The 19,543-nt window shown below is 37.5% G+C and overlaps 1 protein-coding gene across 2 annotated transcripts in view, besides 1 other annotated feature; it reads left to right on the forward strand.

The window, feature by feature from the left end:
• The window catches only part of PLCL1 (phospholipase C like 1 (inactive)), a 345,271-nt gene that overhangs the window by 34,448 nt on the left and 291,280 nt on the right, over positions 1-19,543 (forward strand). The window lies entirely within an intron of this gene.
• Positions 8,230-9,542: an enhancer, noted in NCBI's record as "amplified fragment containing the chr2:198711994-198713304 (GRCh37) CAGE-defined region". NCBI's record gives its function as "transcribed enhancer in T cells {active_cell/tissue: T cell}" and the evidence as "EXISTENCE:reporter gene assay evidence [ECO:0000049][PMID:24670763]".

Here is a 19,543-nt window from a genome sequence, read left to right on the forward strand (position 1 = left end):
TCTTTCATGCCGTTGTCAACTTTTACAAAAGAAGAATTTAATACCACATTATTTCTTCTTACATCTATTTTTGAAAAGCAGTTATTCTCAACACTACCCTAAATATTTAAAAAGAAAAACATTTCACTAACACAAGATTTTGCTATTTGATATCTCCCTGTCAAATCTGAACAGGGTACCTTTACAAAAATCTTTGAAAACAACCTTTAGAAATAGTCTGGAATCAGTTTATGTCAAACAAATGTATGCTCTAAATCAGCAGTCCCCAACCTTTTCAGCATCAGGGACTGGTTGCATGGAAGACTATTTTTCCAAGGGAAGGGGGGATTGTTTCAGGATGAAATTTCCACTTCAGATCATCAGGCGTTAGTTATTTTCTCATAAGGGGCATGCAACCTAGGTCCCTCACATGTGCAGTTCACAATAAGATTCGAGCTCCTGTGAGAATCTAATGCTGCCACTGGTCTGACAGGAGGTGGAGCTCAGTTGTTAATGCTCAGTTGCTCACCTGCAGCTCACCTTCTGCTGTGCCGTGCAGTTTCTGATGGGCCACAGACTGACACCGGTCCGTAGCCATGGGATTGGGGACCCCTCTTCTAAATAATAATTCTAACAAGCCACCTTAATATTCAATTCAAGAATGCAGTCCATGATCAAGTAAAATGTTGTTAGAAGAAACAGGTTTCATATTTCATATCTCCAGAGAGTCTTTAAGACCATTAGACTATTCAGCAAAATTATCCATATATGATTTTTATTTTTTGCTTCCCATTAGCCAAACCCACATATATTATTATTACTTTTTTAAAAACTGCATTAGTATGTTCTAAAGCTTCCTTTTCATTTCTTTTGTGGTTTTAATCTTTGGAGAGTGAGCTAGAAATACCCATTAGAGATGAATTCTAGGAAAATAAATGTAAGCAGTAACTCTGGCTCAATTTATTTTTCTTCTCTACAAGAACTGTTTAAAACCTGGCAGTGGAAGACTATTCTCTTGTCTACCAAGTATTATAGTAGGAAGTGCAAGGTCATCTCTAAATATAAAAGATTCTATGTTTCTAAGGAAAGAGTGTATCTTAAGAAGGGTAAATGAAATAGTTGGCTAGAGGGAAAGGGAAATTTCCTTATTTCACCCTGAAACTTGGCAGCATTTCTGAAACAGAGCTTGAAGCTTTGAGATGAATTAAAAAGAGTTTGTTTCACCTTCTATGGAAGCTCTTTTGCACCCAATTTACTTTTCCCCTGTCTGGTCAGGAAGGCACTTCATCATTAGAGATTTTGTAAAACTTCATCGGTTGATTAAAATGCAGATAGCATGCCTCTCGGTGAGAAAATAATTTTAATATTGTCAGTTTTAGAAATCTGCCTACATAAAACATACGTGAGAAAAAATGTGTTTTCAAACCTGAATTTTTATGTAGGCTTGTTCACTAACTTCTCCATTTCATCATCAGAAGCTCACCCTTTCAAGCTACTTCGCTTTGTGTGTTGTGGGGAGACTGAGGGTGGGTAAGGCATTTTGGCACGACTCAAACTGGTCCATTTTATTTCAAATAAGTCCTGATGAAAGGGCAAATCCTACTCTCAGCATAATCTTCTTTAGAAATAGGAGGAATAAATGCTCCTAAAATGAATGCATAGTAAGGAAGGGCAGGGCAGATGCCATGATCTGGGTGCAACTCTTAAGCTGATGTGTGGCCCAATGATCCTCATACGTGGAAGCCGAATGGACCATAGCACCCTAGCTTCCTTTATAGTCCCCTTTGTTTGGTTTTATCAGTTGAGGGAGATGGCCTACTTCTTTGCCATGTGAGTAAACAACAGAATGCAACTAATCTTCTAGTGGAAGATCATGGAAAAAGCTGCTACCTATGACTATAGAAGTACATTTCAAAATTTGGTGTAAGTCAGAAATAAAGTCCTGGAAAGTAGTTAAATTTCTTCAACACTTCAGGGCTAACTTTTTTTTAAGTTCATAAACTTTACTTTTTAGAGAAGTTTTAGATTTACAGAAAATTTGAGCAGAAAGTACAGAGAATTCCCATATACTCCTCATATCCAACCCACCGCAGTTTCCCCTATAATTAATGTCTTGCATTAGTGTGATACATTTGTTACTTTGATAAGCCAATATCAATATATTGAGACCCATAGTTATTTTTTATTTTTTTTCTTCATGAACCCATAGGTAGAGATTCATAGTTTAAATCAGGGTTCACCCTTTGTGTTGTCCATTCTGTGGGTTTTGACAAGTGTATAATAATATGTATCTATCATTATAGCACCATACAGAGTAGTGGCACCGTCCTGAAAATCTCCTGTGCTTTGCCTGTCACCCTCTTCCAAACCCCTGACAACCACTAGTCTTTTCACTGTTTCCATAGTTTTGCCTTTTTCAGAATGTCATATAGTTGGACTCAACTATGTATAGTGTTTTCATACTGGCTTCTTTCACTTAGCAATGTGCATTTAAAGTTCCTCCATGTCTTTTTGTGGCTTGATAGCTCATTTCTTTTTGACACTGAATAATATTCCATTGTATGGATGTACCACAGTTTGTTTGTTTATTCACTTATTGAAGGACATCTTGGTTACTTCTGAGTTTTGGCAATTATGCATGAAACTGCTATAAACATTTGTGTGTAGGCTTCTGTGTGAATGTAGTTTTTAACTCATTTGGGTAAATATCAAGAAGTATAATTGCTGAATCAAATGGTAAGGACATGTTTAGTTTTGTAAGAAATGTCAAGGTAACTTCTGATGTTCTGTAAATACTTGCGGATTTGAAGAAAGAAAAATGAAGCAGAAATGATGTGATGCCTTTAAGAACTGAGACCCTTGCAATTGATTGGAAATTAAGTGGTCTATTGCTATATGTATTAGCTTAGTTTTATTGAAGACATGTAGGGAAGATCTTCCCTTCTCTATTCTTGTTCTAGGTAAAAACTGCTCAGAAGGTTTTAGCCTATGTTTTAAAAAATAGCTGGGGGAAAAAATGAAGCCTTCAGTAAGTCCAGATTTGTTTGGCCTCATAGGATCTAAGATTGCCCATTAGGAATGCCTGTTAAATTTTGTGTCAAAACTCCCCTACATTCTTGCCTTTTTCTTTATCATTCCTCCTATCTTTCCCTATAACCATAGCCTACCTGCCCCTTACATGATCTTTCAATAGTGTTGTTTATTCTCCTACCCCTCATTCCAGTTTTGAGGAGAAAGGTTGAGCACACTTCTCCTTGATGCCTCCTTCTAAAGCTTTAAACTCTTGTTCCAGTGCCATCTCTGGGAACCCTACTCTTCTCTGGAGGCTGGTGGACAGCTGACATTCTGACTTTTCTCATCCACATTAATGTTTTCCACTGACCTCCAGGACTCTCTCACACTCTTTAGTTTTATTATTCTTATTCACGATCTTATTCCTCAAAATTGCCATCCCCCATCAGCACCTCTAAACACTGTCTCTCAAAGGGTCATATAATCTCTGGGAACTAATGTTCCAGCTTCAAAATTGAGAACTTTGAATCTCTCTTATCTCATTTGTCTGTTCATCATAATTCTGTTTTCTCTTCACTCACTCTTACTGAACCTGTACTTAACCTTTTTTGTGGTTTCTGATTTCTCAACACCCATATTCTAACCCATTAGCTCCCTTGATTCCTTTCTCAGATCCACAATCAACTCTATCAACAAGGCTATTACCAGCACCTAAAATTGTTCTTATCTCTTGTCCTTATGCCACATCTGCCTTGTCAACCTCTGTCGTATACTGTCTCAACTGTATTTCTCTCCCTTGATGGAGAAAGTTATAAGGTAGAACCTTTTCATTTCACATACATGCACAGAGTGATATTTAACACTGAGCCTCATTTGCTAGGCAGTAAGGAATAGGAAAGAATCCAAATTTGTTAATGCATTCAGGTCACTCTAGCACTCCATGACCTGGCTTTAATGTAAATTTTCATATTTGTATTCTGTTACTCCTTTATAGCCTCTCCTGCCAAACTGTACTGTTTACTTTTCTCATATTTCTTTATTCATCTGTGTGTTTTATCTTACACCAGGGATGGCAAATAGATTTCATCTTATATGACTGTTCTGCTCATTGTGGCAATGAGTAGGTCTATGTTGAGAAGGATTCTGATGCTCAAAACCAGGTCAGCAAGAGATTGCAATGATCGACTAGTAATGACCATCATGGGTATGGAAGATGGAAGGACCATGCATTAGTGGGGCATTGCCCAGCGTTTGCCACATATTTTCCCCTCCTGCTTTACATTCTTCATGTGTGATTCTATACATCCCTCAAGGTTCAGATTAATCACTAATTAAAAGAAAACTTATATTTTTATTCCACATATCTTCTCTTTATAGATTACCATATCACTTTAGATATTCCCTGTGTGAGGACAGGTATTATTGGGTATGAGTACATGTGTTCTTCTTCCTTCTATATTGTTAGCTCTTCCAAGGTAGAAATAATTCTTAATTATCCAATTTTGTTGATCACAATGGAAGCATGATGAGAATCCACAAGGAAAATCTCAAACAGTTGGCATGAACACAAATGGAGTATCCTGAACTCACTTTTGACTTAAAGGTCAAGATGGATAATGGAGGAAGTATCCATCCCAGGCTCTGCTACTACTCTGCTTCCATTTGGTTGTCCTTCCCAAAACTTTACATACTTCCAAATTGAAAGATTCCCTAGATCTGAAAGGGGAAGGAACAATTTTAGTAGGTCTGGTGAAGAATATAGAAACTTACTCTTATTGCAAATAGTTGAAACAGAACCAAGGAACATTTTTGACTTGTCTAGTTTCACAGATAATGCTAACATTAATCATGGATTTCTGAATCAGGTTTTTCATCTTTTTACCAGGCAGTGCGGCACCATATTTAATAATTATTTTACTCATTTTGAGGGAACATGTATTGGTTGTGCTATTATTTTGTCACATATCAAGTTTTATGCAATTAGAAATTAACCCATGGGTTTTGTTGAAGAAGTACACATTTTCTGTAAAGTAACTTTTCATTAGGAAGAAGCTTATGGACATTACTATTTTTTATTTTTGGCAAGTAAACTTTTATTTGAAATATATATACAGAAAAGTGGTACAAACCTCAAATAGATAATTTGATGGATTTTCAAAACAGTGAACCCATCTGTGTAACCAGCACCTAGATCAAGAAATAAAATGGTGTCAGCACCCCAGAAGGAGCACACCTTCTCCCAGTTGCTGCCTCATCCTAAAGGTGACCACTCTCCTAATTTCTGACCCCGTAGGTTAGTTTGACCCATTTTTGAGCTTTGTATAAATGAGTCATATAATATGCATCTTCGTGTTTGGCCTCTTTCCCTCCACATAATATTTGTGAGATTTACCTGTATTTTTGTGTGAAGCAATAGTTTATTTTTATGGGTGTTCAGTATTCCATTGAGTACATATACCATATTCTGCATCTTAAATGATTCTTTTACACTTACTGTCACTCTTAAAGTGGAGTTGAGAAACTGAGTATAAAATGTCTAAGATTATAAGGATCTTTGTGTTATTTAACTTATTTATCATTTTCATTATTTTAATCTCTTCATGGAAATTGTGGCTAAGGATTTCTAATATGAGCTCTAAAATTTTAGTATTATATTCTAGCTATTTGAATACAGTGAATCAATATTGTAGGCCTTTGGAAACGTTTTTAAAGTAAATATTACCTGAAAAAAACTAGTTTGTTGTAGGATTAAACTCTGTGTTCTGTTCTTATAACTTCATATATGGCATTTCTTGAAATGACTGAAGGAATTCTTGGATTTAAAGGTCATCTCGATTTCCCTAGGAAGTCATTTAGACATTATAAATGATGGTTTATTCAGAAGAAGGAAGATGAGAGATGGAGATTTCCTGTCAGTGCAAGGATATTGGAGGACAGACTTCAACATATTATTTATATATATTAGTATCTTATCCAGTTCAGCTCAAGGCAGATAATAGGTGATGTTTTGGTGCTGTGTGTATAGGTTCTAGTAGATTAACAAGTTATTCAGCCTTATGGCTGTGTTTTCAGATTTGAATCAGTTAATATTTGTAGAACATCCGTGAGATAAAAAGATCAAGATGAAGGCAAAAAAATGACACAAGAGCTCTGAATTCTTACCTTTGAGGGGCGGCATACAATTTATTCAGGAAAATGACAAGTCAAAGATTCTACAAGTTTGACAATTAGCTACTAAAATAAATATTTTACACACACATGCTAAGTGTGTGTAATTGAAGAGGGGTAAGGAGGGAAGAATATAGAGTATTTCTCTTAAGTAGACTAGGAAGAAAGATAGGACATTTGAGTTAGACTTTGGAAGTAGGAGAAACGAGATAATTGGCATAGAAATGTTGGCCATGAAGTGGTGAAAGCCATTGCCATGGAAAAAGAAGGCATAAAGGAGCCTGGCAAGAAAAGAAAAGATTCACTGGTGTGGAGGGAGAGGGAATGAGGACGTGGTCAGCCTTTTCTTGGGAATTTGAATTCGTATTCCAGGTAAAAGAATGCCAATGCAGTGCTTCTCAGTAGTTTTTAAGCCCATGCCTCCTTTAGATAAACATATATCTTTACCACTCCATCCTAAAACTCTGATTACCTTTCCTCCCCATAATATGTAGGTGATTATATTTCCTACGTATCTCCAGCCAAGATGATTTTGTTAAGCTTCACTCTCTATAGTATATATTGTAGAGAAAGGATTCCCCCCAAATGTAAATTAGATGAGAATGTTGAGTTAAGTTAATAACTACATACATCCTGGGGACATTCTAACATGCCTGTGTGTGTATGTACTTCTTCATTTCTTCTCCATCCTTTGAAAATCACCAAGGCTAAGTGCCATAGCCAAAAGAATAAATGAGAAGGGTGAGGTTTCCTCTCCAGTGCACTTGATACTAATTGAAATTAGGGTCCACAGACTAGGAAATTTAGTGAAATGGGTGTATTAAAAGAACGAGGGTCTGGTCGAACAGTCTACTCTGAGAGGAAGAGGGGTATAAAATACAATATGAGGAAAAAAATCTGAAAGTACTGTTCGGAACTACGCTACTAAAATAGGCTGTATATACACTTTTTCCAGGTTTTTTGGACTTTGTATAGAAAATGAAGTGTTTTGTTTTAGCCATTTGAAGGATTATGTGTCTGCATGACATTTGGTGGAAGTATTTGATAAGTACAGGAAATAAAAGATGAGCTAATAAGAGAAAACAATCAGGACTGGCAAATTAGATTTGGAGATGATTCATATAGAGATCATTATAATCGCAAAGGCAAATTATGTTTAGGAGGCTCTGTATAGAGAACAACTAGCCAAACCCTGAGGGAATGTTAATGGTAGTACGAGAGAAGCAAATATTAGGTTTCTGTCTGAGTATTCAGATGACCAGAAGGCAAATCACCAGGAAAATATATTTTAAAAGTTAAAATTAGGAATCTTTTTGGGGAGGAATTTATTTAGATTTAAAAACACATTTATTGAGGACCTACTGTGGTAAGTGCTGGGGTTGTAAGTATAAATAGGATAGAGTCCCCTAAACCTCAAGAAGCTGACAAATATGGTAAGGAATAAAGAACTGAAGACAATTGGGGTGTAATGTGATGGGTGAGTGCCCAGTAATTTACAAAATAATTATTTTCAAACTTAATTTCACCCAGGCAAGAAAAAGTAGTGCAAATATTTAGGGTAGGAGGGTGAGAAAGCAACGAAGTCGCACAAATATTGTGGTTTTATAGTAAATGTTGTCAAGGTGGAGACATATATGGATGATAGATCCTCAGGGATGTTTTATGGGTTTAATATATACAATGGAAATTCTTTAGAAAAGTATTTGAGGAGTTGTGCAGCTGTATTGCTGATATGAGACTTGTGGTTTCTTTTCCACATTTTATAACTATGAAGTAGTAGGCTGGGTCCTTGAATAAGTGTGTGTTCTTTGGTTTGCATGAATGGTATGTACTTTGAATTCTCAAAACAGAACTCCAGTTTATTTTCTCAGTAGTCCCAGTGAGAAAAGCTGTATTTCTTAAATATGGTCAGAAAGCACTTGACGGAGGAGTGTTTACTGTAGAAACCTGTGATTGTCTGCAGGTACCAGCATAAACATGTTCCCATTCCTCATCCCGGGGGGGTAATCTCATTATTAAACCTATGCAACCTTCAAGTTAGCTTATTTTTAATGTTTGTTTCATATTTTAAAAGCAAGAAGTGAACACGGAAAAAAGTTTAACAATATGAAAGAACATATAATAAATGGTCAGCCCCAGATCCTCAGTGCCCCAGATCCTCAGCACCCCAGAGGCAAATACTGTTAACAGTTTCTAGTGGGTCTTTCATACAATAGATGTTTTTATTTTCATAGAGAGAATGGCTTTTATTTGACCTCTGGAATACAAAAAGGTAACTGTAGTTTCCTTGCAATGCAGTTGGCAAATTATTTTTACCTTCTTTTTCCAAGCAGACTCTGAAACATGAGTTTTGAGGAGCAGGATTAAATACTCTGACCTAAGAGACCCAGATATTTGGATTTTTATGTGGACATGTACTCACTGAAACTGAAATTTGGAGGAACTGGAATTAATAACATTTTCCCTCATGTAATTCATGGAATTTATTGCTTTGGCTCTAATTATGCATTTATGTTATATTCTGAATAATGCAAAGGAGAATATTGAAACATTTTAGGCCGTCAGAACACTTTTCCCGCTCTCAAGCTGTCTCCCTATTGTATTTGTGCTGAAATGCCAAGCTGCATGTGACAGTAGAAGAGTTGGCAGTATCTGTCTTAGAATAAGCTTTCACATGCAGCTTCAAACACCTTTGTGGTTTGGGTTATATTTTGACAGTTGCTAGGTAGCTTGAGTCAGAGAGTGCAGCTGTGCAATTTAAGATGTGTTTTCCTATCCTTTCCTCTAAAGAGAGCTAAAAAAATAAAACTATAATCAGATTTCTAAAGTGTTAAACGGGATAAAACTATTTAGAACCCATACTATAGAATGAAGTAGATGAATTCTGATAAAGCACATATATACTAAAGTATACCAGTGAATTTATTTCAGATGAAACTAGGTAGGCTCATTGTAAACAGATGAGCTTCTGAAATTTCTGAACTGTTTCATTGAAAGGTAAAACAATGGGTTTGGGAGCACCCACACTTCTTGGCACAGGTGAGTGGTTGGCACTCATTAACCACCGAATTCTGACACGAACATGCTGTTTATGAAGAAAAATCAGGGAAGGAGACTAAGATTTCTGATAAGAAAGAGTAGAAGAAAAGGTAGAAATTCAACTTACTTGGTAAAACGGGAGTACGTCAGGATTAGAAATGGGCTCTTACACAACGAGAAATAAAGATAGCTTTTTCATAGGCTTCCTATTCTGAGAGTTTTTCTTGTTGATTTGTAGAGTGTAAATGTACTTCTTCCTGAAGACAAGGACTAGGCCGAGGTAGTTTGATGTAAATGTGGGGACTCATTTGTTATGAACCCATAGTAGACTGCTGTGGGAAAACATTGTGAACAAAAGAAGGAGTCAAAAAATAAACAAAACATTTTGTGGCAAGTTATCTAAGACAGATCCTGGAGAAGGGCTGATTGAGAAGGTAAACTAGAACAAACGGCTTTAAAAATAATAGACAAGGTCAAAATATTTCTGGGCAAGAAGGACAATCAAACCACTTGCAGGTGTTGTGTTGCTGCCTAGAGACTGGTTTGGCCTGACCCAAGTGATGGTGTCTGGAGCCAAACCTTTTATCAGGAGAAATATAGGACCACAGAGATGAGACAAGTACTACCAGTCCTGGGGAAGTAAAGAGACGGAAAATTCCTTTCTTTAACTAGAGGGAATGGACCCTGCAGTCAACCTGTGTACTTGCAGAGCTATATGTCTTTGGTATTCTGATATACTTCACAAAGTATATTTTATGCCCTAGGTGCTAAGTGAATTGACAATGAAGACTTGGTATTGAGGGAATTAAAGGGCAGGTGGGGTTCTGTTCCCAAGGCTACAGTCCATAGAATATTGGCAAGGTGGAGACAAACATGACATACCATCTTCCCTGCCTTCTTTAATCCCTGGGTGGATGGTAGCAGGCAAGAGAGTAATAAATGCAAGGAACAGTAGGTTTGCAGTACCCTTGGTATTCTGTCATATGTGTAATTGAAAGCCACAACAAAATAGCAATAGAAAAGAAAATATTAGTGAGGCGGCTCATGCCTGTAATCTCAGCACTTTGGGAGGCTGAGGTGGGAGGATTGCTTGAGGCCAGGAGTTTGAGACCAGCCTGGGCAACGTAGAGAGACCCCATCTCTACAAAATAACAAAAAATTAGCAAAAGAAAAAAGGCTTTTTTGTGTGTGCGTGCATGTGTGTGTTTGTGGGAAGTCTTAATTTTTGCCTTGAATTTTAAAGGAAGATTTAAATGATTAAAGTAATGATTAAAGTAATTGTGAGATGTGCAGATGACATAGAATAATGGAAATTAAAAAATAAATATTTATTGCCTTTTCTCCCCTGCTTACAAAAGCAGTACAGCTTAATGCAAGAAATTTGGAGAAATGTAAAAGGAGAATGGCATTTAAAAATAACCTTAAAATGTTTTTTTTCTTGAAATATTCAATGGTGGTGGTGGGTAGAGAGTGAGAGGAAGAAGCTCCTCATAGACTTTGAGAAAATCAAGAGGTTTTAAAGAGCAATAAAAGGAACTGAGCACATCTCCTTTAGGATCTGTAGAACTGGCCTTAAATCAATACAGAAATGTCTAGCAAGAGGCAATCTCTCTGGGGAGATTATTAAAGTGAGAGTAGATTATCATTTGAGTGACTGGTTCAGGTTCTCTGAGGTGCTCTTGAAGTACCACTGACTGTTGAAGCATGTATCTGAAATTTCCTTTTAACACAAGTTTTCAGTGATTCTCTTAGAGGTTAAACACACAGACACACAGACACACAGACACACACAGACACACACACACACACACACACACACACACACACACACACACACACACGACTGCAGCCAGGAAGCCTGGCTCAGTCACCAGGTAGTGGTATGCCCTTGGGCAGGTGATTTAACCTTTCCAAGGTTTAGCAATTTCCTCATTAGTACTGCGACAGGATTGAATCAGATTTTCTCCAAGGTTTCTACCTGCTCTAACTGTTTTGTTTTAAGGAATTGATCTCATTTTCTCTTCCTGTCTGTCTCACCCCACCATTTCCCCTTGTCCCAAGGTAATTAAGCCATTTCCAGTTCAGACAGTGAGCTAAGTGCTTTTTGGAACATACGAACTCAAGGAATGCACGTTTTTGTCAATTATTTGAGAAAGTGTGAATCCTGCATGGAGTTTAGAATATATGATTGTCAGAATTGTCTTGATAAATATGGTGTGTGTGTGTTTGTGTGAAATAGAGAATGCATGTAGGAATAAACGAGCAAGCTTATAATTTTTAGTAATATTTGGAATGAGAAAAATTAGGAGGGTTCAGTACTTGATAAGAAGGTGGGTTTCATAAGTAGAATAAACCCGAAGGCCATATACATATCAGGAGAGTTACTTTATGGCTTATATGTTTTTTCCCTTCCAGTATTATAGAAGACAGGTTATATTGTCTGTACAACAACTACACCTACCTACTTCAGGTGTTCATCTTTGGAGTGGGGACCTACGGGAATCCCTGAGTTGGTATAAAGTTTATTTCAAGCTGGAGACATTTGAGATTCAAGAACACATATTGGAGCTTCCCTTATCTGACTAAAAGCAGCAACTTGTGGGAAATGAGGCTACCATAAATCCTCTCTCCAGGAGAGTTTCATGGCCATGAAGAAGACAGAAAGACCACTTGCACCTCCATAAACAAACATTATCACAAACTTTCTTATATACCGTTTGCTCTCCTAAAAATTGATTTGCCTTTCCTAAGGAAGCCTACCTGTTTTTCCCATAGGAGCTTCCTCCCCTTTCCCCACAAAGTTAGGTATATAAGTCTCATATTCTAACCACCCCTTTGAGTTAGTCATCACTGGGCACTCCCACATGTGTGTGCATTGCACGTGTAAATAAACTCCTTCTTTTCTCTTGCTATTTTATTTTCTGTCAGTTTAATTCACATACCTCCAGGAAATAAACCTAAGAGAGCAGCGGAAAAACTTTTTTCCTCCCTGACATCTGTTTTATGTAAATGCAGTTTTTGTAAACATGAAGATAGGATTTCCGGAAACTTCAGACTTTGGGAGCAGTTCTACATACATAGAAAAAATACAACAAAACAGTCAGTACAGATGCATTTTAGTAATTACGTAGCTTATCAAGTAATAATCAATCTAGAATCTGAAGAGTTTTTTCTATTGCACAGTGATAGAAGTATTGATTAGCTATCTGTCTGGAATAAAAGCAGTGCTCTGATTGGCTGCAGTGGTCTTTATTTGAAGAAGCATATGAAGCTATTGGTGTTTATGGCAAGGCATGCTGCCTGAGCCGCTATAAGAAGAAAGACTTTCCCAATGACACCTAAAATCTGGGTACAAGTGATAAGAAAGAGAAGAGACAGGAACTGGGGAAAGTAGTGAAAAGCAGTAGAGACAGTGGGGGAGAAAAGACATTGGCTCCAGGGGGAGCAATTTCACTTCTCTTACCCCTCACCTGCAGGTCCTGGTATGGAAATAGGCATGTTAGAGGAGACCAGGAGGACAAGAAGGTCTAGCCTTGGACAAAGTTCAAGGGGCCTTTAGACCCCAACAAGATGAAATAGAAGAAGTACTGGCACCTGGCCCCATTCCCCTGACTCCACCTCACCCAAACCCTGATGATTATATATTAAGATTGCATTTCTGTACCAATGTGAGGCCACAAGATAGATGGCTCATGGCTGGGCATTTGGATTTGCTGTTGGTAGTAAAAGGTCAATGTAGAACAATTTCCAAATAGCTCTCCTCTCATATATGAATAAGGATGGTTGGCATTTGATTTTGCTATGTATTTTAAAGCTGCAGCAAATGCAGTGAATGAATTCAGCGACAGCTTTGGCCATGTTTTTGATGTACCGGGTGGTGATAGTTGGAGGTAGGAGGGACTTAATAGCATGTGGAATGAGGGCAAAAATATCATTCAAGGCAACGTGCCTTTCAATTCCTGGCACCTCCTGTTGCACAGCTGCAATGTGGTAGGGTGGGGGAGGGAGCAGGGAGGATGGTGGGGAGATGGCACTGCTGTGTGCTGCAGCCTGCCCTGGCCAGCCAAACTCTTGACAAGGCAGCTGGAGAGTACTGATCCTGGCTCTAGATTGTCATCTGATTACACATTGTTTTACCAACTTCATGACTGTTATCTGTTTGCTACAGCTTGTAAAAAAATCTCTATGCTTGGAATGGCATGGTAGTGATTAAAAAGAGATAGGAAGCACTTAATATGCTCATTCATTTGCATTTATTGTAGATTAAAGGAGGAGATGAAGGTGTGTAACTATCTTTTACTATTGCTCTCAGGATTAATATATCATATTGCTTCTGTCATTTAACATTTTTATACCGATGGATTTTTCTTCAATGTTCATATATGTATAGAAATGTTGATAGATGCCAGTCACTGCTAATTAATGTTATAATTCTAAGATGCTGGCGGGTTGTAGGTAGCTTTGGCCAAGGTCCCTTCTTTAAACCTCTCCTATTTTGGGCCTGAGGGTGAAACTAGTCACTCCTTTTAGAAAACAGAGCTAGACTTGAATCCCAGAGCAGCCACTAGGATATCTATATACATCTATAATATGTATCTATGTCTGTCTATCTGTATAAATTTTGTTTTATTATGGTAAATATATTTAACATAAAATTAACTATTTTAGCCATTTTTAAGCATTAAGTACATTCACATTGTTCTGCAACCATTACCATCCATCTCCAGAACTTTTTCATCTTCCCCAATTGAAATTCTATAGCCATGAAACATAAACTCCCCATTTTCTCCTTTCTCCACTCCCTGGTGGCCACTATTCTGCTTTCTGTCTTTATGAATTTGACTCTTTTATGTACCTCATATAAATGGAATCGTACAATATTTGTCCTTTTATGACTAGCTTATTTCACTTAGCATAATGTCTTTAAGGCTCATTCGTGTGGTAGCAGGTATCAGAATTTCCTTCCTTTTAAATTCTGAATAATATTCCATTGTAGGTATGTACCATATTTTGTTTATCCATTCGTCTAATGATGGACCCTTGTGTTGCTTCCACCTTTTAGCTATTGAGAATAATGCTGATATGAACACAGGTGTGCAAATATCTGTTTGAGTTCCTGCTTTCAGTTTTTTGGGTATATTCCCCGGAAGTGGGATTGCTGGATCGATCATATGGTAATTCTAGCTTTAATTTTTTGAGGAACTGTGATATCATTTCCTAGGACAAACTTTAATTTCTCTGTGCCTCACCTTCCTTATTTGTGAAACAGGAATAATCATCCTTAACTGGAAGAGGGCTATCAGGGTTAGAGATAATGTAGTTAAAGTGCCAGCATTTCTTGCCTCTAGAGCCAGTAGCAACAAAACGTGTAGTTTCTGCCTAAATCTTGCTATTTCTCACTGCCTCTGCTCTTGCTGTCTCTCTGTTTGTAATGGCCTTTCTTACCTGACTCCCTCCTATGCATCCTGTAAGACTTGTTCAAGGGCTGCCTTCTCTAGGAAGTTGTCCCTGTTTCTACCCAAGCTATATTGCCCCATTTTATGCTTTTATGGCACCTCTATCATTGTACCTGCCACACTGAATAGGGATTATCTCTTCATTCTTCCATCTCCTGTTTGTAGACTAATTTAATATGTACTGAAATATCTAATATGTGGTCAGTGCTGGAGATTCAGTGGTAGCAGACACTTATAGGATCTATCTGGAGGGGGCTTCATCTGGACCAGTTCCTCAGGGTGTGTTCCTAAAGACCACCTCACCTGCATCAGAATCCTTGGAAGCTTTGGGGACCCATGCTGGGTCTGAGAATCTGAATTTTAACATTCCCCTTGGGTGATTCTTACGCACATTATTAGCTTGTGAGTTCAGAGGTTCCGTGAGGGCAGGCCCTGTGTCACTTCAACACTGCATCCTTGGCCCTGAGTGCAATTTCTGGCACAAAACAGTTACACAAAAGTATTTGTTGAAGAAGGAGGGTACTCTGAATTGAAATGGGGCTGGAATTTAGGAGTGACCAGCAATAGTATGAGGTTAAGATTAACTCTACCTTTTCCCAACAAGTGGAATACCAAGCCAATTCAAACATAAATCTAAACATATATTGATTTCTTACTGAGTGAGGCTTCTCTCTGCCTCAGCCTCATCTCTAGGAGATTTCCTAAAGGAAGGAAATGGACCCATTTTCGTCTTAAATTACATTACATTGTTGACTAGTTGAGAGTCTTCATGCTTCTTTAGTTTCCAGCAAAAAAAAATCTTCAAATGAGTTTTTATTAAGCATTATAATGTTTGCAAAGGTATATAGTGCAAGAATTTGAAATAAAGTTTTCTGGATGCCATAATTTATGTTAACATTTATTTATAAAGAAATACATACATAATATTATAAAATTTTGTGTACAAGGACTCCACTTGTGTATCTGTATACTAGGGCTATATTTTTTGTTGAAGTGTAATGAGGTAAGTTTATTTTTAAGCATTTGTGTAAGGAGAAAAGGAGGGAAGATACAAATTACTTAAGGGCCTGAAATTACTAGCACTCAGGAGTTGCCTGAATTAATTATGGAGGGTCTCAGTTGGATGGCTTGTCACTTTTTTTGGTACTGTAATGCCATGCTTTCCCCTCCCCCATGCTTTTGCTTTTTGGTTTAAAGCTTAAGCTAAATATTATTCTGAAAATTACATGTTTAAAATAAAGACAGAATTTTTACAGCTTGTCCTGTGGTCATTGTGAATATTCTTTTGGATAACTGAAATGGTCAGTCACTAGGATAAAGATCCTTGTGTTAGTTGAGGCCCTCTTTTGGCTAATATTCTGGGAGCAAGTAACTTAATAAAGCTCATAAATATTCAAGTCAGTATACGGATTTCCTCATTTAGTTTAAGGAAACTGGGGAAAGAATTTTGTTAAACTGAGAGGTGGGCTAAGGGAATAAACTGTTCCTTGCATCCGTGTTTGTGACTGGCACCTGACATTAGTTTCCTCTCAGCTTACATGCTTGCCCATTCTACTGTAAGTAAATCCCACTCTTCATTTTAGCTTTGCCCTTTTTCCTGGCACACTGCTATTTTTTTTCAGAGCTGAAGCCGCTTAATCCCCACATGTGGATTCTGCCCTGGTTTAGGTTTTTCTACCAGTCCTGTTCTTAGTGACTTAATCTGGTCATTCACAACAAATCAATCTTTGGTTGGTTTTGCTATGCCTTTGTCTGATTCTATTAATAAGCCTTTTTCTTGTTCCTTGTGACCAAAATTCTGCACTATCACTTTCTTTCCACCTTTTCTGATAGCCCAGCTAGTCTGGTCCTGGGCTCCTGCTTGGATTCTACAGGCTTCTCCAGAACAATCTAGTTGGCTGGGTTTTAATTTATCTGCTTCCATGTCTTTCTATAATTCCAAGAGCCTAGTTACTTACACCTCTAGCTAACTTTACTCCTTGCCTAATGTAGGTTTGCCAACTTGATGTCCTTCACTTGTTCCACATCACTTCTCCACTTGGGTTAGTCTTTGTGCCTAGCCTTCTTTAACGGGGCCCATCCTGCTTCACCTGAATCCTGATTCAGATGACCAAAGACCAATTCAGTGGCTAAATTGTTAATGTCTATGCTTTTAATTCACTACAGGAGAAACATCCTGGTTAACCTCTGCTTCTCAGTCAGTTGTTCAAATGTGCCATTGGAGCACCATAAAATATGTCACTTCAGAATGTTACTCAGTAAGGGCACCTGTTTTAGCTTGGTCACCTCCTTTGAACCTAAAACAGAGGCCAGCCATATCTACAGCAAGTGTCCCCACCAAATTTTGTCTCACTGCATAAGCTTTACTTTCTAAGGTGATTTTGAATGGAACTTTAAGAACATATCAGACAATTTTGAGTTACTTGTCTTGCTGTGCTTTTTATTTTATTGGTCTTAGAGGAAACACACATATGCATAATATTTTGTTTCCCAATTTAGGGAGTTCATGGACTACTTAGAGGTCCAGCCCCGTAGGTCATAGTGACACTGTGATGGAACGTTTACTTCCTTTTTATAGTTGTCATATCCAACCATGCTTATTGTAAAGACAATTGATAAATGAGATAGAAGTCGAGATAAGTTAGAGGAGAATGATGCTAAAATTTCTTTAGCATTATAGGATCTTAGATTTATGCTGTTTGGCTTACTGTTACTACAATGACAGTTTTCTAAATGTTATTTTTATAAAACAACTTACCAAAAGGTACCTATGCAGGAAATGAACTTGAAAAAAATCAGAAAAGCATTTATCTTTAACAGAATGTTATTGTCAACATTTTAAATTTATTGTATGTATGCAGTTACGAATTATATAAAAGTGAGTTTTGGCTCTCTAGGGAAGAATCAGTTGGAATTTTATTAAATTTCAACCTGGACTATTTTACTTGGAAGTTGAAGAATTACAGCTAGCCTAGTGGTTTATACAATATATAAGATATGAAAAACCCTTCACAGGACATTTCATTGATTTGTTTCCAAGTTTAGTTCAGACAACCAAAGACCAATGTATAGGTAAAGATGAAATGAGCCATTATTTTGCCATTATTTGCAATATTTGTGACTTAACATTTATTACCTACAATATTCTTCATTACCTTTATTCTGTTGTTTAAAACTACTTTTAAAAATACATTATGATGAGGCTTTTTGAAGTTTTTTCAAAGTGGTCTAACTTTAAGACGATTGTATATTTAGAATTCCTGTACTTTAAAAATATTTATTGAGAATGAGGGGTGGGAAGAGGGAGAGGATCAGGAAAAGTAGCTAGTGGATGCTGGGCTTAATACCTGGGTGATGGGATGATATGTGCATCAAACCACTGTGGCACATGTTTACCTATGTAACAAACCTGCACATCCTGCACATGTACCCCTGAACTTAAGATAAAAGTTGGAAATTTAAAAAAAAGAGAATGAACTTTTTTTTTTTTAAGATCACTTTGATAAGGAGAAAGTCAATATATTGACAGAATTTTACAGCTGAAGCTACCAGAAATGGCATGTGGCCATCTCTGAACCCTTCCTGCATTCTTTTCTCTATACCAGGCTGCCTGGCATGCTTTTAAATCACCACCAGTACAACCTCTGCAGAGATCTTCAGCTATATTCTCCAGCAGCTTAATTTTTCTCCCAAGGTTAAACCTTACACAGAAAGTTTGTTCTCTGATAGGCATAGGTACACTGAATAAACTACTATAGTACTGCTGATCAGGGCTTCTGACTTTGAAACTGAGCTGCAAAACAAATAATCAGCTGATTGTATCAGTTTAGTGAGGTGAAAAGCTAGGAATTCCTTGCAAACAAGCAGTCTATTTAAATGTTAAAAGAGAAGAAATCTGGTTTCCATGTTGTAGTAATGATTCACTAGTTTTCTAGTGAAGGTCATTTGAAAGGAGAGTGAGCAGTGATGGGTCTAGCTGAACACAGAATGATTAATTACAAGTTATTAAAGCATGGTTTCACTCTGGGCTTATTGTGCATAAGCAAGTTTATATATGCACTTGAAGAAACTTGATACAAATAGAATGAATGAAAAAATGCAAAGGCAAGGGCATAAAATAGGTAGGCAAGCAAGATGGCAGCACTCAATGTTTCTGGAATTATATAACCTTGCCCAAGAGGAAGTTGACATATGGTGAAAGGGATCTTGAAAAAAAAGGAAGCCAAAAGAGTCCCTGACTGAGGGCATTTACTCTGCAGTTTCTTCATCTAATCAGAGAAATGGACAGGAAACCAGGCCCTCTTACTCCTACATCATGGGGCTGTTGAACATACCTCATGAGAGAGAAGTACTTAGATAGGTTTTGCAGTGGGGTATGTTTCGGAATACTGAAGTAGAGGTGTTTTCAATTGATATAAAACTTGGTGTGGAGTAGATTACAAGGTCAAAATGAATATGTGATCTATTGGTAGGGAGGTAGCCTGGGTATTGCAAAGAGCACATGTTTTGGAAACAAAGGGACCTGAGCTCAAATCCTGGCTCTCCAGCATGCTATCCATGTGATCCCAAGGCAAGTGACAGCCACTGAGTTGTAGCTCCTCTTGTAAAATAAAGTAATGCTAACCGTTGAAGTATATTTCCTGTGAAGTTAATGAGGCTTAGCGAATCAAGCCCTCCAAAGGGCCTGAGCCATGTGTTCACATGGCTGTTTTTATTAAGCCTGTGGTCTCCATTCTGATTTTTCCTCTATCGCGTTCTCCCTTATGCGGGGTGGTACTGAAATGGCCATGGATATTTTTGGGTTTATAATTATATGTTTACTTCCTTTGTATGTACATTTTGTATTATTTTCCTATTTTTATATTATGTGTACTATTTTTCCTAATGAA

This window comes from Homo sapiens, chromosome 2 (genome assembly GCF_000001405.40).
Source record: "Homo sapiens chromosome 2, GRCh38.p14 Primary Assembly".
Lineage (NCBI taxonomy): Eukaryota > Metazoa > Chordata > Mammalia > Primates > Hominidae > Homo > Homo sapiens.